The sequence below is a fragment of the Homo sapiens genome, chromosome 16, assembly GCF_000001405.40.
Source record: "Homo sapiens chromosome 16, GRCh38.p14 Primary Assembly".
Classification (NCBI taxonomy): Eukaryota; Metazoa; Chordata; class Mammalia; order Primates; family Hominidae; genus Homo; species Homo sapiens.
The window spans coordinates 23,816,331-23,841,628 of record NC_000016.10 but is presented as its reverse complement, the minus strand read 5'-3'; the positions used below and the strand labels follow the sequence as shown (position 1 = coordinate 23,841,628).

Here is a 25,298-nt window from a genome sequence, read left to right as displayed (position 1 = left end):
GCAGTCCCAGCTACTCAGGACACTGAGGCAGGAGAATCACTTGAGCCCAGGAGTTTGAGGCTGCAGTGAGCTATGATCATGTCACTGCCCTCCAGCCTGGGCCACACAGTGAGACCCTGTCTCTAAAAACAAAATTTAAAATAAAAGAAGAAGGTTTTTCTCTCTACCAAAAATCTTCTTAGAGAAGACTTTAATTAAAATTAAAGCTCAAATGCAGGTCCTAAGTTCCTGTAAAGAATGCCACAGAAACAGCCAGCACTGTAGCTCATGCCTGTAATCTGAACACTTTGGGAGTCCGAGGCGGGTGGATCACCTGAGGTCAGGAGTTCAAGACCAGCCTGGCCAAAATGATGAAACCCCATCTCTACTAAAAATACAAAAATTAGCCAGGCGTGGTGGCAGGCCCCCGTAATCCCAGCAACCTGGGAGGCTGAGGCAGAAGAATCGCTTGAGCCCCAGGAGATGGAGGTTACCGTGAGTCGAAATGGTGCCACTGCACTGCAGCCTGGGCAACAGAGTGAGACTCTGTCTCAATAAATAAATAAATAAATAAAAGGCAAAGAAAAAAATGCCATAGAGAGAAATCTGCCTTGCTTGTCAAAGGAGTTCCACTTCTACTCTAGAATTTAGGCAATTTTACAATAGGGATCTTCAGCCCCAGTTCCCTGTCATCAAACACATTCTTAAATTACCTCCCAGAGAGTGGTTTTATAAGAAATAGACAGAGTGGAAACAAAAAGGGAGAAATTATGAGGCAGTCAACCTAGAGTTTCGTCCTATCATCATACGAAAGCAAGAAAATCTATTCTTAAGCTCCCCTGAGCACACAGAAATCCATAATTTCCCAAGGTTTATGAGTTTTCCATCCTTCCTCTCCCAACCCATAGCAGTGTCCCCAATTTCCATGACAATGTAATAGAGCCTGAAGGTTACTCTCAATGGTTTCTTTGCCTTGCGATCATCCTACACACCTCCTACCAGAGTGGCAGAGACAACATCCTCTCTCTGCTTGTATTTTTGAAATGGAAACATCCTCTAAATAGTGGCTGCCTGAAATAAACACTACATTTCCCACATGCTCCCTCACAGCAAGGTGTGGGTATGTGATTAAACCCTAGCTAAGAGGATGTAGGTAGAAGGATCTTGAGCAACTTAAACAAGTGACACCGAGCATGTGCTATATGCCCTTCTTTACCCCTTTCTTCCTTCCTGCTAGCTGAAAGAAGGGTGTGAGGACTCCAGCGTCTAGCATCCTTTTTGGACCATGAGATAATTGTCACTCCCCAGGGATAGTGGAGCAGAAAACTCAAAGGAACCTGAGGCCCTGGGCTCTGGATTGCTGACTTAAGTGAGATCATAAAACCTTATGTGTTTTGTATAAACTGTTGATTCCATCGTAAGTGGATTTACTTTCAGAGGAAATATCTGATACCAAGAACAATCAGATACTAAGGAACTCCTCAGTGGTTCCAGAATTAGTCCCAGGCAATGCTGAGTACCAGGGATAAATTTCCCTCTTTCCTATATGTTCCCATTCTAAACATCTCAATTTCAGGGACTGCCAATCTGCCCCTCCCCTCACTCCTCCCTACTGCTGCCCAAATGGAATATGCTGTCAAAGCAGCTACACAGAGTGACCAGAAGTTCATGGCTGAGTTTTGACTCTTACCTGGCAGGCAGTTCCATAGCAAAGCAACCCTGCAGAGCCAGTCTTCTCTCGTGCCAGCTGCCCCACCATTGGGGTAGTCTGGGGACAATCATAAGAGCAGATATTTTCTGAGCATACTCTGTGTCAAGCTCTGGTCCAAGAATCTTGGATATTGCAATGAGTTGGAGCTGCTCAGCCACACTATGGTACTGTTACTGACTCCGTTTTATAGACAAGGAGGCTGAAATACAGAGAGGCTAAGTAATATGCCTGGGAAGTCTCAAAGCTAGGATTCAGACCGACAGGGACTTGCCTGGTAGCCTGTGCAAATGCCCACTTCTCTACGCTGCCTCTTGGTGGGGAGGCAGGGAAGAGAAAAAGAAAGGCAATTTAAAAAATAGACACTCCAGAGGGGCATAGTGGCTCACACCTATAATCCCAACACTTGGGGGCTGAGGTGGGAGGGTTGCTTGAAGCCAGGAGTTCAAGACCAGTCTTGCAACATCACAAGACCCCTTCTCTACAAAAGTTGTTTTAAAATTAGCCAGGCATGGTGGTGCGTACTTGTAGTCCCAATTAATCAGGAGGCTGATGCAGGAGGATCACTTGAGCCCATGAGTTTGAGGCTGCAGTGAGCTCTGATCATACCACTGTACTCCAGCCGGGGCAAAAGAGTGAGACCCTGTCAAAAAAAAAAAAAAGACACTCCTATCTCTAGAGCGCCCATATTTCATTACAAACTTTAATTCTGCCTTTTTCTCTTAACATCAGAAAATTCCTATTATCTTCCAGACTTTGAGTTAAAGGATCTCCTATTTCAAATGTGTCATGCCTTGCACATTCCAAAGTGACTTTCCCATCCATCAATAACAGCAGAGCAGGTGGCATAGAAGATCCGTGGTAAAAATGTTTAAAAATCGCCCCCGATCTCAGCAAGAGACAAAGACTGAAACTGATTCATGGAAGTGAAAGGCAACCTCAAAGAAGAAATTACACATTCCGGTGCCAAGACACCATTGGCATTTTGTTTGAGGGGTCAAAGTTCTAGAAAACAATCCAAATTTGTTTGCACCAGGGCCTAAGTTGTTGCCACTTAAAGAGACTTGAGGAGTCCTCTGGTGTGGTGCAGAGGATCCAAATCTTGGTAAGACAGGCTGGGTAGGTTGGCAGGGCTCACTGAGCCCACCGGGACCCCGATCTCAGAAGAGTATGCAAGAGTCTCAGAGGAGCACAGTGCCATGCTGCCAGCAAGCAAACATTCTGCACCACTGACGATGCCACCTACACTCACTAGGGATCACTTTACTTTTCCCTGGAGGGTGGAGGTGCAGCCACAAAACTGTCAGTCAGTGCTAAATCACGTCAGACTCTTCCACACTCAAATACTTTCTTTTGATTTAAACCCAGCTCACCAGGGTGGTGGTCACTTTGCCCCTAAAGATACAATACCCCAGAAATGTGCCGTTTCTTACCAAACTCAATCTTACCAAGCCCAAGAGTGAAAAATTAAAATTTAAATTAAAAAGAAAACATAACACACAAACTTTCCAGATGAGAGGTTGCAAACTTAAATGCCCACAGGGGCCAGAAATGGGTGAAGTGTTCCCCACTGGGATCAACTGAGACAAAATGGTAAGGCTGTTCCCCATCTACGACGACGGCTCTCAGCTCCAAACGATTGTTTTCAAGCGAAAGTGAGACCATTTCTCAGCAAAGTTAAAGTTGGAAATTAGGATGTGTATGTGAAATCTCCCAGTTCTAAAACGTTCACATCAAATTCACAAGTAAGACACCCTAAGGGCTACACAGAGCTGCGGGTAACTTTTGGTCCTGGAGAGCCAATTTGCAATCTGTCTTTTAGACATGAGCCCCAAAGACGGGGGAGGGGGACACTTTACACGTGATCAACTCACCACCAGCAGGTTTGATACCCCTGGTTAGAGTCCAGGATCTCAAGCCAGATGCAAGAACTCAGGTAACCAGTGCCCTGGAGACCTTTCTGTTTCAACCCAGAAGATAGGGTGATTTAAACCAGGATCTGAGAAACACTCCCTCTGGAAATACTTCTTTCAGAGAGAGAGGAGGCCCAGGCGACAAACACAGTCGCCTTTCTAGGGGATGCACCATCTGCAGAGGAGCGGCAGCCACCTGCAGAGACCTCTGCAAGGCAGGGAGAGGCAGAACCTCCCTGGGTGAGATAAGGAAGGGACATGGGCAGAGAAAGGGGAACTAAGGAGGACAGGTTCTCCCAGAAACGTCCCGGGAAAACACTTTCTCCCCCAGCGGAACTGACCATGCCAGGATTGCTTCAGGAGACCGCTTTGACTCTTCCAGAGCCGGGAAGGCAGGAAGGGTAGGTGAACTTCCTTGGCATGTAAGACTCCCAAGCGCCATCGGCCCCAGTCACACACACACCCCTTGAAAGGACCCTGTTGTGGTGAAGAATTCCTAGCCTGGGAGGTCACTCCGACCAACGTGATTCTTTCACTCTCTGCCTAACTCAGTAACTTCTTCTATAAAGTATTTTTCACCCTCTCTTCCCACAAATAGCATCCCCAAAGCCCCAGAGCCTACCTTGGCACTGGAATCCCTGCTTCCCGAAGCCCCTGCAAAAGCAGAAGGAGGTGTATGTCAGGCAGCCCGGGGGGCCCAGCCTCCAGCTAGTTACCCACAGAGTCACCCGCCTTCCTCCCTGCCTCTGTACCCCAGGTGCAAACTCCCAGCCACAGGCGGGTGCCCAAGAGTCTTCCGCCTTTGTGGGGGTAGGTGGGAGCTCGGCTGTAACCCCCATCTGCCTTCACTCCTGCAGAAGAGAGGAGGCTGCGACCACCAGGTGGCGGGATAGTGGGGAGCGTTTCCGTCGGGGTAGGGGCTGAAGGCAGGCGACAGATGTACCCATAGATGCCCCGAGCACCCTCGGGAAAAGAGAAGAGATAAAGACGCATTCAGAGGGAGGGCGAGAGTGACCCCGCGGCGGTGGTGTCCTCTGGGAGGGGGACTGGGAAGGAGGAAAGGATGCCCCACTACTGGAGGGACTGGGGAAGAAAGGGGCCCGCAGTGATGTGACCGAGGAGTGGAAAGGGGAACCCAGGCCCTCGGGGAGGGGCAATGGGAGATAACACAGGGCGCTGCCCGGAGGCACAGAGGAGTGAGAAAGGATGTCCCATGCCCGCAGGGAGATAGAGAAGGACACCCAGGGCGCCGCCCCCCCCGGAAACAAGGGGTGGGGGGCGAGGGCTCCTCGCGCCCGGAAGCAGGCGGAGAGATAGGGAACCCCGGGTCGGAGAGCACCCGAGGCGCTGCCCTCCAGGGCAGGCACAGACCCCGCGCGCTCCTAGTCAGGTGGAGCAAAGGCTCCCGCGACGCCGCCCCTGGGCGCTCTAGAGGCGCCTGAGAGCAGGAGAGGGCAGGAGGCGCCCCGCGGCGGCCCGTCTGGGACCAGGGTGGGGACAGGGCAACGGCAGGACTGTCCATCCGGGAGTCCCGGGCAGCAGGGTCCGGAGCCGGGAGTCCGGAGACGCGGGGTCCCAGGGTGCGGAGGGCGCGGAGGGCGCAGAGGGCGCGGAGAGGGGGTCCCTGGCGCGGCGCTGCCCTCGGGGGCCCGGGAAGGTGCCCTGCGCGCGCGCGCTCACCAGATGAAGTCGGTGCAGTGGCTGCAGAAGGTGGGCTGCTTGAAGAAGCGGGCGGTGAATTTGTGGTTCTTGACCTCATGCACGTTCTTCTGCCGGAGGGCGCCTTTGCGGGCGAAGCGCACGGTGCTCTCCTCGCCCTCGCTCGGCGGCGGCCCCGCAGCCGGGTCAGCCATCTTGCGCGCGGGGAGCCGGAGCCCGAGAGGTGCCGGCCCCGGGGCCGCGGGACCGCGGGCTGCGGGCCGGGGAGGCGCGGGAGGCGGCGGCCGCTGCTGCACCCGGGGCCGCGGGCGCTTCCCCTGCGCCGGCTCTGGCGGCCGCGGCGCGCGGAGCCGGGGCTGTCACTCGCCCAGCTGCTGCCGCTCGTCCAGCTGCGCTTGGCACCGCTGGCCCCAGCTGCGGGGGAGGGAGGCGGAGCCCCGGGCCAGCCCCGCCCTCCTCATTTGCATCGCGCCCAGGCCCCGCCCAGCGCTGCCAGCTGCTTTACATATCGGCGCCCGGGCTACCGCGGGCCTCGCGGCTAAGCGTGCACAGCCGCAGCTCTGCAGCGCCGGGACCGCAGCCCGGGGTCGTCGGACCCGAGCCTCGCCCCCCACCCCACCCCGTCCTCGGCCCCCGGGGCTGCGTTCAGGAGATGTGCCCAGGGGAGGAGCGAGAGTGGAAAGACCTACGGGGCGAAGGGGAGCGGGTGGAAGGGGTGGGGCGCAGCGAATTCCACCCCGGCCTCTGCGGAGACTGGTACCCATCCACCCCCATCCATCCCATTGGTCATTCTGCACGCGTCTCCTGGAGGGATGGGCTCCCGCTGTCACTCATTCGGAAAGGCTTGTGGCCGCACACACTTACACACACATACACACACACGTTCTGCAGAGGTAGGGGAGGAGCGATCTTTATTTTATATGTCTCTAACTCCACCACAGAGAAGATTCTTGGCTTTGCTTGCCTCCTGCACGTTTGGAAGAGAACTCCCTACCTTCTGTCCATCCCCTCTGCAAAACGACTCCGTTTCCCCAACTGTAACATAGGGCTAATAGTGTGGGGAGGAAGGATTTCAGTAGATCAATATTTTTCCAAATTTCATTCATTTCTGACTCGTCTTCACAAATTCTGGTCGTATTTGTGCACCCTCTGGGGGAAAAAAAGCCTATCTCTTTTGGTCTGAGTTTGAACAGCAAGAGGTATCTACATTATTAAAATATCTCCAGGTGCCGTCATCTGTCCTAAGCATCTTCGACTGAAGTCATCTTTTATTTGTTAAGAGAGGAAATTAATAAATGCTAGAGGGGTGTTAAAGACATTACTATCCAACCAGGACTCTCTCCTTGATGTGATCTGAAGGTAACTGAAAGGGTAATAATTGTCTACAATGTGTAATTCAATGTTATTTAGCGCCCTGTTCATGCACAAGGCCTAAAGATACCCACTGCCACCATGTCCCCCACTCTGGGAACGCAGAGCTTCATTAGGCTGTGAGCTCCTTCACCAGACCTAGGCTCTGTGAGAGCAGGGGGGCTGTTCACCACCATGTCGCCCAGCACCAAGCTCAGTGCCTGACACCTCCCAAGACCCCAGTAAATATTGGTTGATTGAGTGAGGGCATGGATGAACAAGTGAATGAATGAAGACTTAAAGGTCGGCACTTCTTACCCCCACTCACACCCAGTAGGTGTTTAATAATAAATATCAAGTGATTGCTGGGCATCAGGTACTTGTGCTGTCTTATTTAGCCCCCGCAACAACCCTATGTAGATCTGGTAACTTTCATTATGGATAAGGATGGGGAGGTTCAGAGTGATTAAGATACACCCACAGTCATACCGTTGCTGAATGGTGATTGGGCTGGCCTGACTACAAAGCATCCTGGTGACAAAGGGGTGAACCTGAGTAGTGGTGGATGAAGGGGGGCAGGCTGGAGTTGCACGAGCTCAGGTCCCACTATGACAATTTTGCCTGGAAGCTGCTGAGTGGTAAGTCATTATTAGGTAGCATGTCGAGAGCAAGGGCTGCAATAATAGAATGTCCCTCTCCTACATAGTAATTCAAAGGTAAGGAGGAAAAAATAGCATTCACTTTTAAGGTTGACATGTTTGGGAAACTGGATGTGCCTGTCTATTATTAGTCCTTGAAGAGGCCCCACCACCTCCCAGGGAGGCTTGGGAAAACATCCCAGGAGACATTGCTGCTGAAGTAGATTTCCTTTGAACTGATGAGCTGGAAGCTCACAGCCCACATCCTGCCTTTTGAATGAAGTGCCCTGGATGACTTTGGTCTGTAACAACAAACAGTACCTCATGGCGCCGGGGCCTGGGGATGCAAGGGCTGTGGATGGAAAAGAGCCACTTGGTTCCTGAAGGCGTTGCACCAAGTGAGGATGAGAAATGTGGTTCCCATTGGACCCAGATTCCTGTAGGTCAGGGTCTCAAACTGGTGGCTCCAGATGCTCTATTTTTTTTAAGCTAGCCCAGTGGGTTGTTGTTGTTGTTGTTGTTTTTTAAGTTCACGGGTCATAGAATTTTACTTAAATATCCAGATTCTGACTTATCTAGGAAAAAAGATAGAGCTAAATGGAGCCTACATTCCTCCCTCACTCATACATTTGTTCTTTCAATCAACAAATTGCTTATTAAGCACCTACTGTGTGCTGTTCCAGATACTGTTAAACAAACCAGACAAAGGTCCCTGCCCTAGTGGAGCTTATAGTCTAATGGGGAAGGGGGAGTAATAACCTAACCAACTAACGAATCCATACCTGGTGGTGTATAATAGAATGTTTGTAAATAAAAATAAAGCATTATTATAAAGACCACAGGGAAATCCTTTATAATATGGGGACATCTGAGTAAGGCCTGAATAAAGTGAGAGGGTGAGCCAGGGGACTATCGAGAGTTTCCAGACAGAGAAAACAGAAAATGCAAAGAGCCTAGGGGAGTATCAAGCTTGGTATGTTGGAGAAATAGCGAGAAGGCCTCAGTGGTTGGATGAACAGAGAGGAGAGAGGACTTATGAGATGAGGTCAGGGAGGTAGCAGGGCCCCAAAGGGCTTTGCAAATGTGATAAGGAGTTTGGATTTCACTCCAGTGAATGGAAGCCATTGGAGGGTTGGAAGCTGAGGAGTGGCCTGATACAACTTATGGGGTTTTCATTTTAAAAGCTTACCCTAGCTACTATGTGGAAATTAGAGGAGAAAGGGTGGAGGCAGGAAGAGCAGTGAAGAGGTCAACTGAGCAGATCAGGCAAGAGATTAGGGCAACATGGCATAGTGCCAACAGGAGCTGCAGGGCAGCAGCTCCCCGTAGATTGGGCATGGGTCCTCCTTGCCACCAGAGCCCCCCAGGCCCACTCTGCTCATGAAGGAGTGAATGCTGGTCACTTGAAAGATTTCAGAGGCAGTGAGGGGGCAGGTTGCTGTGGCTGAGAATGGAGTCCAAGGTCCCTTTGCTCCAGACCTGTGGCTGCCATAAAAAATTATAACAGAACAGGGTGGCTAGAAATAACAAAAATTTATTCTCTCATCATTCTGGAGGCCAGAAACCATAAGTCACAGTGTCAGCAGGGCCACATTCCCTCTGGAGGTTTCAGAGGGGAACGCTTCCTTGCCTTTTGTGGCTTCTGGAGGCTGTCAGCATTCCCTGGCTTCCCTGGCTTGTGGTCACATCGCTCCCATCCTCCTCTGTCTTTATATCACCCTCTCCTCTGTGTGCCTATCTTCACCCCTTCTGTTTCTCTAATATCCCCTGTATATCTCTTTTTTCTTTTCTTTTTTTTTTTTTTCCAAGATGGAGTTTTGCTCTTGTTGCCCAGGCTGGAGTGAAATGGCATGGTCTCGGCTCACTGCAGTCTCTGCCTCCCGGGTTCAAGTGATTTTCCTGCCTCAGCCTCCCAAGTAGCTGGGATTACAGGCACCCGCCACCATGCCCGGCTAATCTTTGTACTTTTAGTAGAGACAGGGTTTCACCATGTTGGCCAGGCTGGTCTCAAACTCCTGACCTCAGGTGATCTGCCTGCCTTCAGCCTCCCAAAGTGCTAGGATTACAGGCGTGAGCCACTGCACTGGCCCTATACCTTGTATATCTTTTATATGAACACTGGTCCTTGGATTTAGGGCTTCACTGGATAATCCGAGATGATCTCTTCATCTCAAAATCCTTAATATAGTTATGCCTGCAAAGACCCCTTCGCCAAATAAAATGACATTCACAAGTTCCAGGAATTATAACATGGATGTACCTTCTTGGGGGCTACCATTTAAATGACTACAGTGCATAACCCTGGGCAAGTCACTTACTTCCTCCTGTGTCTCATTTTCCTCTTCTCTAAGGTAGGACAAGGATACAGTAGTTTGCCTCTCAACCCCTTTATTCTTTTGTTTTTTGTTTTGTTTTGTTTTGGTTTTGGTTTTTTTTGAGACAGAGTCTTGCTCTGTCACCCAGGCTGGAGTGGAGTGATGCGACCTCGGCTCACTGCAACTTCCGCCTCCCAGGTTCAACCCATTCTCCTGCCTCGGCCTCCCAAGTAGCTGGGATTACAGGCGTGCACCACCGTGCACAGCTAATTTTTGTATTTTTAGTAGAGACAGGGTTTCACCATGTTGGCCAGGCTGGTCTGAAATTTCTGACCTCAGGTGATCCACCCGCCTCAGCCTCCCAAAGTGCTGGGATTACAGGCATGAGCCACCGCGCTCGGCCTCAATCCCTTTGTTCTAAGGCTGCACTCTTCAACACAGTTGTCACAGTACCCACATGTGGCTGCTGAGCATTTGAAATGTGGCAACTCTCAAGATCACTTAGAACTGCTACTAATTGTAACTAAAAACCTATAGTAAGAAACAAGAAAAGGCTAGGTGTGGTGGAGGCTTATGCCTCCACTTTGGGAAGCCAAGGTGGGAAGACTACTTGAGTCTAGGAGTTTGAGACCAGTTGAGGCAATATAGTGAGACCCCATCTCCACAAAAACTTTTTTTTAATTAGCCAGACAGGTAGTCCACACCTGTAGTCCCAGCTACTCAGGAGGCTGAGGCAGGAGGATCATTTGAACCTGAGAGTTGGGGGTTGCAGTGAGCCATGATTGTGCCACCACACTCCAGTTTGGGTGACAGAGTGAGACCTTATCTCAAAAAAGAAAGACAGGAAGAGAGACAGGGGGAGAAAGAAGGAAAGAGATAGAGGGGAAGGAAGGCAGGAAGGCAGGGAGAGAGGAAGGGAGAGAGGGGAGTATGGCCCCTTCAAAGGGAAAAAATAAACCAACAGAAACTGTCCCAGAGAATGATCAGAAGGTGAGCCTACTAGACAATGGCTTTAAAGCAACTATATTGAAGATGCTCAAAGAACTAAAGGAAGACATGGAGAAAGTTAAAAAAATGCATAAACATAACAGAAATGTCAATAAAAAAATAGAAAACCCAAAAAGAAACCAAAAAGAAATTCTAGAGGTGAAAATACAATAAATGAAATTTAAAAATCACTAAATGGTTTCAAAGGCAGATTTAAGCAAGCAGAAAAAAGAATGCACAAATTTAAATATAGGACAATTGAAATTATTGAGTCTGAAGAACGAAAAGAAAAATGATTGAAAAAAGTGAACAAAGCCTGAAACACTTGTGGGACACAATCAAGCAAACCAACAGCGTACCATGGGAATTTCAGAAAAAGAGAAAGAGAAAGGAGAATTATTTGAGAGCTTATTTGAAGAAATAATGGCCAGAAACTCCCCAAGTTTGATAAAAGACATGAATATAAACATCCAAGAAGCTCAGCAAACTTCAAGTAGGAATAACTCAAAAAGACCCACACCAAGACATTATAATCAGACTGTCTGAAGCCAAAGACAAAAAGAGAATCTTTAAAGTGTAAGAGAGAAGTGACTCATCATATACAAGGGATCCTCAATAAGATTATCTGCAGATTCTTATCAGAACTTCAGCAGTTAGAAGGTAGTGGGCTGATGCATTCAAAATGCTAAAAGAAAAAATAATCAACCCAAAATTCTCTAACTGTCAAAACCGTCCTTCAAAAGTGAGAGAAATTAAGACATCCCCACATAAGCAAAAGCTGAGTTTGTCACCACTAGAGCTGCCATGCAAGAAATACTAAACTAAAGGAAGTCCAGCAGGTTGAAATCAAAGTGCACTGGACAGTGTCTTGAAGCAATGTAAAGAAATAAATATTTCAGTAAAAGTAAATACATGGGCAATTATAAAAGCTAATATCATCATAAAATCCACTTACTGTTTTCTCCGTGATTTAAGAGACTAATGCATTATTTAAAATTACTACTTTATGTTTTTGGGTGCACAATGTATGAAGATGTAATTTTATGACATTAATAACTGAAAGGGATGGGGACAGAGGTATTAGAAGCAGAGATTTTGTATGTTATTAAAGTTAAGTTGGTATGAATTCAAATTAGAATATTCTGACTTTAGGATTTTAATGTAATCCCCATGGTAACAACATAGAAAATAATTATAGAATATACACACAAGGGAATGAGAAGGGAATTAAAACATTTCACTGCAAAAAAAAAAAAAAAAATCAGCTAACCACAAAATAAGATAGCAATGCAGGAAAAGAAGAACAAGAAAAGCTATAAGTTATATAAAAAACAAATATCAAAATGAGAAAAGTAAGTCTCTCATTCTCAGTAATTACTTTAAATGTAAATGGATTAAACTCTCAAATCAAAAGACAGAGATTGGCAGAATAGATTTTCAAAAATGCGACCTAACTATATGCTGTCTACAACAAGAGAACTCACCTTAGGCCAGGCATGGTTGCTCACACCTGTAATCTCAGCACTTTGGGAGGCCAGGGCAGGCAGATCACCTGAGATCAGGAGTTCAAGACCAGGCTGGCTAACGTAGTGAAACCTCATTCTACTAAAAACACAAAAAAAAATAGCCAGGCGTGGTGGTGGGCACCTATAATCCCAGCTACTACAGAGGCTGAGGCAGGAGAATCACTTGACCCTGGTAGGTGGACTTTGCAATGAGCCGAGATCAAGCCACTGCACTTCAGCCTGGGTGACACAGCAAGACTCCATCTCAAAAATAAATAAAGAAATAAATAATAAAGAGATCCTACTTTAGATCCAAAGACACAAATAGGTTGAAATTAAAAAATGTGAAAGCAGGGTCTGAAAGAAATATTTGTACCCATGTTGACAGCAGCATTAGTCACAGTAGCTAAAACATGAAAAGATAAGCAAAATGTAGCATATACATACAATGAAATATTATTCAGCCTCAAAAAGAAGAAAATTCTGACACATGCTACAACATGTATGAACCTTGAGAACATGATGCTAAGTGAAAGAAGCAAGTCATAAAAAGACAAATACTGTATGATTGCACTTATACGATATTGTTTTAATGTGCCTCCCCCACCCCCCCAGATTTCATGTGTTGGAAAGTTAATCCCCAGTGTGGTAGTATTAATAGGTGGGGCCCTTAAGTGATGGTTGGATCATGATGTGGTCTGCCCTCATGAGTGAATTAATGGGTTAATAAATTAATGTCTTATAATGGGAGGGGAACTGGTGGCTTTATGTGAAGAGGAAGAGAGATCTGAACAAGTACATTAGTATGGTCAGCCCCCTCACCATATAATACCCTGAGCTACCTCTGCAATCTTCAGAGAGTCCTCACCAACAAGAAGGCTCTCACCAGATGTGGCCCCTCAACCTTAGACTTCTCAGCCTTCATAACTGTAAGAAATAAATTCCTTTTCTTTATATTACCCAGGTTCAGGTATTCTGTTATAAGCAACAGAAAATGGACTAATACATATGAGGTACCTAGAGTAGTCAAAATCATAGGGACAGAAAGTAGAATGGTGGTTGCTGGGGGCTGGGAGCAGGAAGAAATGGAGCATTATTGTTTAATGGGTATAGCTTTGGCTTTGCAAGACGAAAAGAGTTCCGGAGATGGATGGTGGTGATGGTGGCACAACAACATGAATGCACTTAACATCACTGGACTACACTTAAAAATAGCTAAGATGGGCCGGGCACGGTGGCTCACACCTGTAATCCCAGCACTTGGGAGGCCAAGGCAGGCAGATCACTTGAGGTCAGGAATTCGTGACCAGCCTGGCCAACATGGTATAACCCCATCTCTACTAAAAATACAAAAATTAGATAGGTATGCTGGCATGTGCCTGTAATCCTAGCTACTCGGGAGGCTGAGGCAGAAGAATCATTTGAACCTGGGAGGCGGAGGTTACAGTGAGCCAAGTTTGAGCCACTGCACTCCAGTGGCTCGAGATGGAGCCACTCACCCAGGCTGGAGTGCAGTAGTGCGATCTCAGCTCACTGCAACCTCCACCTCCAGGGTTCAAGCAGTCTCTTGTCTCAGCCTCCTGAGCAGCTGGAATTACAGGTGCTCACAACCATGCCCAGCTAATTTTTTGTATTTTTAGTAGAGACGGGGTTTCACCATGTTGGCCAGGCTAGTCTCAAACTCCTGACCTCGTGATCTGCCCGCCTCGGCTTCCCAAAGTGCTGGGATTACAGGCATGAGCCACTGTGCCCAGCAGATGGCTACCTTCTTTAAAATACTTTTTTGTTATAGTATAACATCTATGCAATAAGCTGTACATGCAACAGACTATGTTTTTTATATATGTATATACCCACATGACTTCCACCAGGTCAACATACAGAAAAGTTCTAGTTCCCCAGAAACTCTTCTGTACCTTTTCCCAGGAAATATTACCTCAAAAGGGAGCCACTGTCTGACTTTCATCATCATAGATTAGGTTTTGTTGCTGTTGTTGTTAGAATCTTTTAAATTGTGGTATAAATATATAACATAACATTTACCATCTTAGCCTTTTTAAGTTTGTAGTTCAGTGGTGTTATGTACATTCATATTGCTGTGCAACCAATCTGCAGAACTCTTTTCATCTTGCAAAACTGAAACTCTATACCCATTAAACAACTATCCATTTCCTCTGCCCCAAGCTCCTGGCAATCACCATTTTACTTTCTGTCTCTATGAATTTGACTACTCCAGGTACCTCGTAAAAGTAGACTCATACAGTGTTTGTCTTTCTGTAATTTCACTTAGCATAACGTCTTCAAGGTTCATTCATGTACCATTGTGTGTCAGCATTTCCTTCCTTTTTAAGGTTGAGATGGTAGATTAGTTTTCCCTGTTCTTGAGTTTCATATGAATAAAATCATACGGTTTCTGGATTCTTTCACTTGACATAATGTCAGTAAGATTCATCCATGCTTTTGTGTGTATCTGTGTTCGTTCTTTTGTATTGCTGTTCATGAATATATCACAGTGTACTTATCCATTAAATGTTGATAGTTACTTGGGTTATTTCCAGTTTAGGACTACTTTGGAAAACCCTACCATAAGCATCCTTGTACATGTCTTTTTGTGGACATACGTGCCTATTTCTCTTAGGAATACACCCAGAAGTAGAATTACTAAAATTTAAGTCCTTTAGACTGACTCTGAACAGTTGGATCTGTGATGCCACGTGGTCCTGTATCTACCCCACTCCCTGAGCTAAGTTCCCCTTCAGAAAGGAGGTTTTGTCTTCCTCTTCCCTTGAAGAGCCTCCAGTACCTAGGTGGGGTCTCAGAGTACAGCAACAAACAGGAACTTGAACAGGAAGTAATCGTGGGTAAAATGCTGCGTAATAATGAACACAGCACAATTGAACCCAGTATTCAGGTCAGGGAAAGTTCTTGTTTGGTTTACTAAATTCTAGAAAGGGAAACTGAAAAAAATGAAGGTACGAGGGCACAAACAAAGAGGTCAGACATCCAGACTGAAGCATCATTCCCATCACAGTCGTCTGGTCCTCCCAGCAGTAATAGTACAGTAATGGGGCTCAGATTCAAGGACAGACTTGTGATTCTAAAATTCCAGCTCCATAACCCTCTTCATTCAAGGAGGCAGGGGAGGAAAGTCAGAGGCCTGCTCATTAAGTATTAGAGAGGTGTTAAAAACCTATTAGCACCGATCTGGCACTTTCTCCTTGATGGTTTTAGAATAATTGAAAGCAAGTTAAATAAGGAAGGACTCTCATTGTGAGATTCAGTGGGACTTGATGCCACGTTAAAGTAATACTAAAAGCCATTGCAGGGACCCTATTTGGGAAGGAGGATGCTAAGGGGTGACTGAGTCCAAATAGGGAATGCGTTCTCTTTCTCTTTCCTCCCATGATGCTGTCTGGAAAGGAGGAACCGCAAATGCCTTCTGCATAGACAGCCTGAATTGGGCAGGCTAGACAGCTCTGCTTACCCTTCCCCACATGGTGTTCCTCAGCAGGGCCAGGACTAGAGTAAGGAGAGAAAGATGCTTGCCCTGAGTGCAAAATTAAAGGGATGCCAAAAAATCAGTAAGTAAGGCCAGGCGTGGTGGCTCATGCCTATAATCCCAGCACTTTGGGAGGCCAACATGGGTGGATAACTTGAGGTCAGCAGTTTGAGACCAGCCTGGCCAACATGGCGAAAGCCTGTCTCTACTAAAAATACAAAAATTAGCCAGGTGTGGTGGCATATGCCTGTCATCCCAGCTACTTGGGAGGCTGAGGCAAGAGAATCACTTGAACCCACGACGTGGAGGTTGCAGTGAGCTGAGATCATGCCACTGCACTCCAGCCTGGGCGACAGACTCCATCTCAAAAAGGAAAAAAAAAAATCAGTAAGCAAGATAAACAACATTTAATGCAATATTTAAAAACATCAAAACTAATGCAAAAAATCCCTGATGAGGGAAATATCAACTTTTAAAATAAATATAGGTTATGGTGGGCAGAATTAGGGTAAGGCCAAGTCATGTAAGTGCAGAGTAGCTCCACTAAGACGTTAAGATTAAATGAGCTAATGCATGTAACATGCTTAGAACAAGCCCTCAATGTGTTTTAATTATTAGCATTATCGTTACCATACTACTACTACTGCTACTACTACAGCTACTACTATTACTATTACTACTATTTTTGCTGTAGGAAAGAGATAGTTGTTTTATTACCAAGTGGAGTGGGGGTCTGCTGTTCCTGTCCTTGCCTGTAAGAAGTTTTTCCTGATTCCTAGGGTTTAAATTAGATGTTCCTTCCCTGTGATCCTCTGGCATCCTGAACTGGCCTGCACTTACACAGCATTGTGTTGTCTGTTTACTTGGCCATGGTCTTCATCAACTCAGGCCGCCAGAACAAAATATCACAGATTAGGTAGCTTGAACAACAGACATTTATTTCTCACAGTTCTGGAGGCTGGGAAGTCCAAGTTCAAGGTGCCACCTGATCCGGAGTCTGATGAGGGCTCCCTTCCCCTCTTGCAGGCAGCAACCTTCTCAGTTTATCTTCACAAGATGGAAAAAGAGAGTTCTGGCCTCTTCCTCTTCTTAGAATGACGTTAATCCCATCAGGAGGACCACGACCTCCCCTAAACCTGATTATCTCTCAAGGACCTCACCTCCAAATACCATCACACAGGCCTTAGGGCTTCAACACATGAATTTGGGGGAAACACAAATACTCAGTCCATCACATTCATCTCCCTGGGTAGCTTAGGACCTCTGTGAAGGCAGAGATAGTCCTATTTTGCTTACCAATTTATCCTTCCCTGGGCCAAACACAGTGCCTCACACATAATAGCTACTGGAACTATATTTATTCTCTTAGATCAGTGTGAATCAGTGTCCACACATCTCTCCTCTAACCTTCTTCACAAGGATGCAGTAAATTGGTTGGCGAGAGATGTGGAGTGGCAACCATTTACATACTTGTCAACTCTCTTATTTAGTCTGAAGTCATATAATAATAAAATTATCATTATTTCTTTCAGTGCTAACATTTATTGAGGACTTCATATGTGCTGAGCATTCTACTAACATTTTTCAATGTATCAACTCATTTAATCCTCATGGTAATCATATAGGTAGGTGATATCACTTTCCCCTTTTAAAGATGAAGAAACTGAGGCACAGAGGAGTCAAGTGTGTGCCCAAGGTCACTCAGTTACTAGCGTAGGACAGCTGTGCTCCATCCACCCCACTCTGACTCCCGAATCTATGCTCCTGAGTATCCAATGAGATGGGGCTCCCAGGCTAACAGAACCCTCCCGCCCACATCTGTGAAAAGATGCCAGCTCTATTACCCCTCCACCCCCAGGCAATCTTTACTTACTCCCTCCTACAACAAGAGATTGCCAACGGCGAGAACAGATGAGAAGGAGAAAATAGGTTCTGTCATTTCTCTAAGAGGCCACCTGATCCCTTCAGGTTGAAAAGAAATGTTTAATACAACATCTCTCTCTGTCCTGGAATTCTTTTCTATGCTTGGCTGGTCAGCTTAATCTTCAACTGGCCAAGCAGAATGCCCATCCATAATACTGCTTCCGGATGTAGTGTGACCTGGAGAGGGGAGGTTTCAACAAGCAACCACAGCGCCAAATGTAGAAAGCACAAACTACTCAGTTAAAGGGATACTTACCACACACTTTCTCTGCTTTTGTATTTTCATTGGTACATTCCAGGTTTGGGTGTTTTTTTTAAACAAATGTCAAGGTATAAACATAGTATGTTTTCTTCCACTGCCCTGGCCCTGAATTCTTTTTGTCTTTTCTTTTCTTTTCTTTTCTTTTCTTTTCTTTTCTTTTCTTTTCTTTTCTTTTCTTTTCTTTTCTTTTAGATAGGGTCTCACTCTGTCACCCAGGCTAAAGTGTGATTATGAGTCACTGCAGCTTCGACCTCCTGGGGTCAAGTGATCTTCGCACCTCAGCCTGCTGAATAGATGGGACTACAGGCACACACCACTACACCCTGGCTCATTTTTTCTTTTCTTTTTTGTTTTTTTGTTTTTGTTTTTTTTTTTTTTTTTGAGACCAAATCTCACTCTGTTGCCCAGGCTGGAGTGCAGCTCACTGCAACCTCTGCCTCCCAGGTTCAAGCGATTCTCCTGCCTCAGCCACCCGAGTAGCTGGGACTACAGGCGCATGCCACCAAGTTCGGCTAATTTTTCATATTTTTAGTAGAGATAGGGTTTCACCGTGTTAGCCAGGATGGTCTCCATCTCCTGACCTCATGATCCGTCCACCTCAGCCTCACAAAGTGCTGGGATTACAGGCTTGAGCCACTGCACCCAGCCCATTTTTTCTATTTTTTGTAGAGACAGGTTCTCATTTTGTTGCCCAAGCTGGTCACAAACTCTTGGGCTCAAGCCATTCTCCCACCTTGGGCTCCCAAAGTGCCAGGACTGCAGACATGAGCCACCATGCCTGGCCTGCCCTCAATTCTTTAGACAATTGGATAGAATAGAATTACTTAATATTTGAATTCACTTTAAAATATGACGTTTTACTTGCATTCATTTTTAGAACAGTTAATGTGTTCATTTTTTAAGAGCTAAAATAATATAAAAAGGTTTTCATGGAGAGGAGCATCTCCCGTCCTAGCCTTTCTCTTCACCCCCTAGAGGTAATCATATTTATTAGTTTATCGTTTCTTATTCTTCTTTCCATACTTCCTTTATTAAATTTACTTATTTAAATATTTTTAAAAATCAATGCTGCATATATTCTGATATATTCTTCCTTTCCTCTTTTCTTACAGAAAAAAAAGTATCTCACTATGTAAAATATTCTGCACTTTATTTTTTCACGTAACAATCTTTCTGGGTTGGGTGCAGTGGCTCACACCTGTAATCCCAACACTTCGGGAGGCTGAGGTGGGAGGATTGCTTAAGCTCAGGAGTTCAAGACCAGCCTTAGCAACATAGTGAGACCCTGTCACTATTAAAAAAAAAAAAAAAGTTAAAATTAGCTGGGTGTGGTGGCATACGCCTATAGTCCTGGCTATTCAGGAGGCTGAGGTGGGAGAATCACTTGAGCCCGGGAGTTTGAGGCTGCAGTGAGTTATGATTGCACCACTGCACTCCAACCTGGGCAACAGAGTGAGACCCTGTCTCTACAAATCAAATAAAATAAACAAAAGAAAAACAAAAAACTCACAACTTTTCTGGAGTTCTTTCTGTATCAGAACATAGAGAACTTCATCAATCATTACAGCTGTATCATATTCTGTATAACTGTTAGTTTAACCAGTCCCTCATCAGTAAAAACTTGGGTCATCTCCAAACTTTTGCTATTGCAAATGATGCTACAACAAATGACCTTGGACATACATCATCTCCTCCCCACAGCAGTGCAACTGTCGAATAAATTCCCAGAACTAGGGATTGCTAGGTCAAAGGGTAAGTGCATTTTCAAGGCTGATAGATGTCCCCAGCTTGCCCTCCACAGAGGCTATGGCCTTCTGTACTCATCCTACTCATGATGACAATGCCAGTTTCCCCCACAGCGGTACGCACAACATTGTCATGCTTTTCTATTTTGGCCAAGCTGATAAGTGATAAATAGTCTCTTGGTGGAATTTTAATTTTCATTTATCTTATTATGAATGAGGTTGAGCATCTCTTCATAAGAATGGCACATTAAAAACACTTTTATTGTGAGTGACAGAAGCTCTTTAGGGCTAACTCAAGCAAATGAAGGGGAAATTACTACAAGAATTAAGAGGTGTCTCATGCCGCCAAGAGCAGCAATCCAGCGAGGCCCCCAGATCTAGAAAACAAAAAATGTGAATTGGATTGATCTCTCTCTCCTCTCCTCTCATCTACTTTTCTCTTTCCAAATTGGGAAATACCTCCTTCCTGAGTGTAGGAGTGTGTGTGCCTCCCCACATCCCCCCAGTGTACCTGACACAATCTCCATCCCCCGCACATGCTCTCACATAGTCTCAATTCCAAATTCCCAGAGAGAGACTCTAATTGATTAATCTTTCTTCCACAGTGCATCCCTAGTCCAATTTGCCATAGTGGGAGGTGGGAGAACGATAAGAATCAGAAAATACAATTGCTTCCCCCCGATAATGCAATGCCAATAGGAAACCAAGGGTCCCTTCACTGACCATCCCTTCTCCCAGTGTGATTCTCCCAAAAAGATAGAGGGCTCCTATGTTTTTGCAAAGCCCCATGTGAAGGATAGTCTACTCTTCTCTGTATGGCCCCAGTGCTTTTCCAAGCTAATCATGGTAATTCCGTGCCCTTTGCTAGTAATGGGTTTAGAAATAGACCTGTGATTCAGTTCTAGCTAATGATACATAAGGAAACATTCCTCACAGCTAAAAATAGATACAATGTCAAGACGGCCACTCTCCTGTTACTGTATGTTGTTGTGTCTGTGTGTGATTCTATCAATTAGCTTTCGCTACATTAAAAACCACCCTACAGTGGGGTGCGATGTCTCACGCCTGTAATCCCAGCACTTTGGGAAGCCAAGGCAGGCGGATCACCTGAGGTCAGAAGTTCGAGACCAGCCTGGCCAACATGGCGAAATCCTGTCTCTACTAAAAATACAAAAATTAGCCGGGCGTGGTGGCACGCACCTCACCTGTAATCCCAGCTACTCAGGAAGCTGAGGCAAGAGAATCGCCTGAACCCAGGAGAATCGCGGAGGTTGCAGTGAGCCGAGACCGTGCCACTGCACTGCAACCTGGGTGATAGAGTGAGACTCCGTCTCAAAACAACAACAACAACAAAAAAAAAACCCTAGGCCAGTTGCAGTAGCTCACACCTGTAATCTCAGCACTTTGGGAGGAAGAGTGGGAGGATCATTTAAGGCCAGGAGTTCAAAACCAGCCTGAGCCACATAGCGAGACTCTGTCTCTACAAAAATAAAAATAAAAATTAGCCAGGCACAGCGGCGGATGCCTGTAGTCCAGTTAATTGGGAGGCTGGGGCAGGAGGGTTGCTTGAGCACAAGAGGTCAAGGCTGCAGTAAGCTATGATTGTGCCACTGCACTCCAGCCTGGGTGACAGAGCAACACCCTGTCTCGAAAAGAAAAAACACACACATACAAATTCAGCGACAATACAGAATCACCTATTATTTCTCATGATTTTGTAGGTTAGCCAGCTGGTTCTGATCTGAGCTAGCTCAGCTAGGACTGCATGGTCTAGGATGCCTTCATTCACATGTCTAGCAGTTCACAAGCTGTTTGATCTACAAGGGACAGCTGAGGATGGCTCATCTTGACTACATCAGGAACCTAGTCCAGGCTTCCTAACATGATATGTCAGGCTCTCAAAGTACAGTAAGAGGGTTGGGCAGGGGTCCGGGGAAGCACTTTTCTTTTCTTTTTATTTATTTATTTTTTTTTTGAGACAGAATTTCTCTCTTGTTGCCCAGGCTGGAGTGCAATTCTCAGCTCACTGCAACCTCCGCCTCCTGGGTTCAAGTGATTCTCCTGCCTCAGCCTCCCGAGTAGCTGGGAAGACAGGTGCCCACCACCACGCCTGGCTAATTTTTTGTGTTTTTAGTAGAACAAGGTTTCACCATGTTGGCCAGCCTGATCTGCCTGCCTGCCTCGGCCTCTCAAAGATTACAGGTGTGAGCCCCCGCGTCAGGCCTTTTTTTTTTTTTTTTTTTAGACAAAGTCTCACTCTGTCCTTCAGGCTGGAGTGCAGTGGTACAATCTCGGCTCACTGCAACAATCTCGGCTCACTGCAACCTCCACTCCCAGGTTCAAGTGATTCTCCTGCCTCAGCCTCCCAAGTAGCTGGGATTAAAGGCATGTGCCATCATGCCCAGCTAATTTTTGTATTTTTAGTAGAGAAGGGGTTTCACCATGTTGGCCAAGCTGGTCTCAATCTACTGACCTCAAGTGATCCACCCGCCTCAGCCTCCCAAAGTGCTGGGATTAAAGGTGTGAGCCACCGCGCCCTGCCCAAGCACTTTTCAAATATCTTCAAGCATCACATTTGCTGTTGTCCCATTGACCAAAGCAAGCCACGTGGCTAAGCCTGGTTGGGTGGAGAAATAGACCATATTTCTTTATGGGAGGGGATAAAATGTAGTGCAGCAATTTTTGCAGTCTATCTTGGCGACCCCTAGAACTCTGCTATCTTGGGACTATGAGGGGTACTAGCCTGAGGATGGCAGAAGATGGGAAGGATTCTCTATGATGACATTGAACCACTGAATTTACTAACCCTGAAGAGGTGCTACCTTGGAAGTTTTTGTTATGTGAGCTGATTAATTTTCCTTTCTGTTTAAGACAGTTGAACTGATATTAACCGATGTATATTATTTTTGTATATCAGTTGAGGTGTTACAAGGGGAGGTCAGTTCCCAGACGATAAGAGGTGGTTCACCCACTGCCAGACATCCCAAATTGGCTGAATATTTGTTGTTGTTGTTGTTGTAGACAGTCTTGCTGTCACCCAGGCTGGAGTGCAGTGGCATGATCTTGGCTCACTGCAACCTCCACTTCCTGGGCTTAAGCCATCCTCCCACCTCAGCCTCTTGAGTAGCTGGGACTTCGGGTGCACACCACCATGCCCTGCTAATTCTTGTGTTTTTTGTAGAGAAGGGGTTTCACCGTGTTGCCCAGGTTGGTCTCGAACTCCTGAGCTCAAGTAATCCACCTGCCTCAGCCTCCCAAAGTGCTGGGATTATAGGCATGAGCTACCGCGCTCAGCCTGGCTGGATATTTTTTAAGTTTCTGTGAAGGAGTCCAGGCTGACTGCCTGCATAATATGAGCCAAATTTGAGGGATGGTTACCCAAAAATCAGATGCAAATTTATACATCCTTAAATTACATAGAGTCCAGAAGATGAGAAGGAAAGTCCAGTTTTGAGGTCCAAAATTCCAAATACACACATACATAGAAAGATGGCATAACACATGTGAAACAGATGGAGGGGTAGATGATATAATTTAAGTGATGATGCCCATCATGGCCTCTGCTGTGTAGTAGAAAATACCCCACGTTACAATCCCAAGAAACAGAAGAGAGAGAGAGAAAGAGAGAGAGAGAGAGAGAGAGAGATATTAGAAAAAAGATTTTATTTAATGCCAAATATAACAAATAGGGTAAGTATAAAAAGGGCTCAAAAGAGACCATAAAATTCTTGTCACCAGTCAACATAGCAAGGACAGTTTCAGTGCTGTGACATGAAAAGCAGACTATGAGGAATCGAAGAGTAAACTACAGAAAAGAAAGGATGAATAATAAATATAAGATGTCACATTATCTTGGACTCTTTCGATTATGTGCCTCATAATCCCACCTTAAACCGCTTAGTTTGAGGGTGTAGATTTAACAGCTCTTATAACTGAAACTCAAAGAGTATCTAGCATCAGACGTACTTGGATTCAGAGGTTCAAACTAGAGTCACTCCATATTATCTGTGGGGAATTTGTTCCGGGACCCTCTCAGATACCAGAATCTGACGATGCTCAAAACTGTTATATAAAATGATGTAAGATTTGCATATAACCAATGAATATAATTTTATATACTTTGAAGCCTCTCTAGATTACTTATATATCTAATATAATGTAACAGCTATGTAAATAACTGTTATACTGTATTGGTTTTTTGTTTGTTTGTTTTTTGAGACAGGGTCTCACTCCATCACCCAGGCTGGAGTGCAGAGGTGCAATCATAGCTCACCGCTCAAACTCCTAGGCTTAAGTGATCCTCTCACATCAGTCTCCTGAGTAGCTGAGACTACAAGCACACACTACCATGCCCGGCTAAATTTTTTGTTTTTCTTTTGTAGAGATGAGGTCTCTCTATGTTGCCCAGGCTGGCCTCGAGCTCCTAGTCTCATGATCCTTCCACCTCAGCTTCCCAACATGCTGAGATTACAAGTGTGAGCCACCATTCTCAGCCCTGTTTTTTAATATTTTTGGGCTGCAATTGGTTGAATCCAAGGATGCAGAATCCTTGGATATGGAGAACCCACTGTACATAATGGAAACACTGTCTTTCTCTCCATTTCTTGGTTCTACTTGCCTTCTTCTCAGAAAGTCTCCCTCCACATAGATCCTGGGCATGGTGGCTCACACCTGTAATCCCAGCACTTTGGGAGGCCGAGGTGGGTGGATCACTTGAGGTCTGGAGTTCAAGACCAGCCTGGCTAACCTGGTGAAACCCCGTCTCTAATAAAAATACAAAAATTAGCCAGGCATGGTGGCATGTACCTATAATCTCAGAAACTACTTGGGAGACTGAGGCAGGAGAAACATTTGAGCCTGGGAGACAGAGGTTGCAGTGAGCCAAGATCACATCACTGCACTCCAGCCTGGACGACAAAATGATACTCTGTCTCAAAAAAAAGAAAAAAAAGTCTCTCTCCACATGGAGAAGTGGAGCACAGCCTCCCCAGTGACTGTAGCAAAAGTCTCAGGGAGGACAATTCTGCATGGTCCAGCTTGGGAGACATGACTACGCCTGACCCTATCACTCCAGCCTGGGAGATGGAGTATTCTGATTTGCTGTGCCCTTGTTAGCCTTCAAGCCACAGGGATTGAACAGGATTTTTATGAAATAAGCGGAGCAATGTTTGTCTCAAAAAGGAAATGCTAAGTAAAGGGTTAAAAAATATATAATAGATTCCTTAGACTTGACACCAAAAGCAAGGAAAAATTGATAAATTGGACCTCATGAAATTTTTAAAAATTTTTTCTTTGAAAGACCTTGTTAAGAGATGCAAAAACAAACTACATACTAGGAGAAAGTATTCACAAACCACGTAACTCACAGAAGACTAGTATCTACCACGCATAAAGAACCCTCACAACTCAGCAGTATTAAAACTAACAACCCAATTGGAAAGTGAGAAAAAAAAAAAACATCAGCAGACATTTCATGAGAGAGGATATATAAATGACAAATAAAAACATGAAAATATGTTCAGCCTGGCATGGTGGCTCATGCCTGTAATCCCAGCACTTTGGGAAGCTAGGGCAAGAGGATTGCTTGAGCCCAGAAGTTAAAGACGAGCCTGAGCAACATAGTGAGACCTCTTCTCTACTAAAAATCAATAAAGAAATTAGCCAGGCATGATGGTACATCCCTGTAGTCCCAGGAACTAGTGGGGCTGAGGTGGGAGAATTGCTTGAGCCCAGGAGGTGGAGGCTGCAGTGAGCCATGATAACGCAACTGTGATCCAGCCTGGGCAACAGAGAAAGACCCTATCTAAAAAAAAAA

The 25,298-nt window shown here is 45.8% G+C and overlaps 1 protein-coding gene across 3 annotated transcripts in view, besides 12 other annotated features; it reads right to left on the bottom strand.

Annotated features, from left to right (window-relative positions):
• The window catches only part of PRKCB (protein kinase C beta), a 384,629-nt gene extending 378,983 nt beyond the window's left edge, over positions 1-5,646 (bottom strand). For 2 of the 3 annotated variants that reach the window (NM_002738.7, NM_212535.3), the window contains exons 1-2: positions 5,281-5,646; positions 4,223-4,254 (exon numbers count right to left, since the gene is read on the bottom strand). In NM_002738.7, the coding sequence (NP_002729.2) occupies positions 4,223-4,254; positions 5,281-5,453 (205 nt within the window). In that variant the 5' untranslated portion in view covers positions 5,454-5,646. Of the gene's footprint in view, positions 1-1,669; positions 2,032-4,222; positions 4,255-5,280 lie in introns of those variants that run through there. The other variant, XM_047434365.1, reaches the window with a different exon arrangement.
• Positions 4,541-4,680: an enhancer, noted in NCBI's record as "active region_10589". NCBI's record gives its function as "activates an Ori minimal core promoter by ATAC-STARR-seq in GM12878 lymphoblastoid cells {active_cell/tissue: GM12878}" and the evidence as "EXISTENCE:reporter gene assay evidence [ECO:0000049][PMID:35858748]".
• Positions 4,944-5,489: an enhancer, noted in NCBI's record as "H3K4me1 hESC enhancer chr16:23847461-23848006 (GRCh37/hg19 assembly coordinates)". NCBI's record gives its function as "activates a minimal SCP1, AML or CMV promoter by ChIP-STARR-seq in primed H9 embryonic stem cells {active_cell/tissue: H9 hESC(primed)}" and the evidence as "EXISTENCE:reporter gene assay evidence [ECO:0000049][PMID:30033119]".
• Positions 4,991-5,070: a silencer, noted in NCBI's record as "silent region_7284". NCBI's record gives its function as "represses an Ori minimal core promoter by ATAC-STARR-seq in GM12878 lymphoblastoid cells {active_cell/tissue: GM12878}" and the evidence as "EXISTENCE:reporter gene assay evidence [ECO:0000049][PMID:35858748]".
• Positions 5,401-5,480: a silencer, noted in NCBI's record as "silent region_7283". NCBI's record gives its function as "represses an Ori minimal core promoter by ATAC-STARR-seq in GM12878 lymphoblastoid cells {active_cell/tissue: GM12878}" and the evidence as "EXISTENCE:reporter gene assay evidence [ECO:0000049][PMID:35858748]".
• Positions 5,490-6,037: an enhancer, noted in NCBI's record as "H3K4me1 hESC enhancer chr16:23846913-23847460 (GRCh37/hg19 assembly coordinates)". NCBI's record gives its function as "activates a minimal SCP1, AML or CMV promoter by ChIP-STARR-seq in primed H9 embryonic stem cells {active_cell/tissue: H9 hESC(primed)}" and the evidence as "EXISTENCE:reporter gene assay evidence [ECO:0000049][PMID:30033119]".
• Positions 5,490-6,150: a biological region, named in NCBI's record as "H3K4me1 hESC enhancer GRCh37_chr16:23846913-23847460".
• Positions 5,511-6,150: a silencer, noted in NCBI's record as "silent region_7282". NCBI's record gives its function as "represses an Ori minimal core promoter by ATAC-STARR-seq in GM12878 lymphoblastoid cells {active_cell/tissue: GM12878}" and the evidence as "EXISTENCE:reporter gene assay evidence [ECO:0000049][PMID:35858748]".
• Positions 14,700-15,072: a transcriptional cis regulatory region, noted in NCBI's record as "candidate enhancer chr16.1867 targeted for multiplex CRISPR interference". NCBI's record gives its function as "positively regulates PRKCB gene expression with high confidence in K562 cells {active_cell/tissue: K562}" and the evidence as "EXISTENCE:mutant phenotype evidence [ECO:0000015][PMID:30612741]".
• Positions 14,700-15,159: a biological region, named in NCBI's record as "CRISPRi-validated cis-regulatory element chr16.1867". NCBI's record gives its function as "regulatory_interactions: PRKCB".
• Positions 14,890-14,989: an enhancer, noted in NCBI's record as "active region_10588". NCBI's record gives its function as "activates an Ori minimal core promoter by ATAC-STARR-seq in GM12878 lymphoblastoid cells {active_cell/tissue: GM12878}" and the evidence as "EXISTENCE:reporter gene assay evidence [ECO:0000049][PMID:35858748]".
• Positions 15,020-15,159: an enhancer, noted in NCBI's record as "active region_10587". NCBI's record gives its function as "activates an Ori minimal core promoter by ATAC-STARR-seq in GM12878 lymphoblastoid cells {active_cell/tissue: GM12878}" and the evidence as "EXISTENCE:reporter gene assay evidence [ECO:0000049][PMID:35858748]".
• Positions 19,256-19,759: a transcriptional cis regulatory region, noted in NCBI's record as "candidate enhancer chr16.1866 targeted for multiplex CRISPR interference". NCBI's record gives its function as "positively regulates PRKCB gene expression with high confidence in K562 cells {active_cell/tissue: K562}" and the evidence as "EXISTENCE:mutant phenotype evidence [ECO:0000015][PMID:30612741]".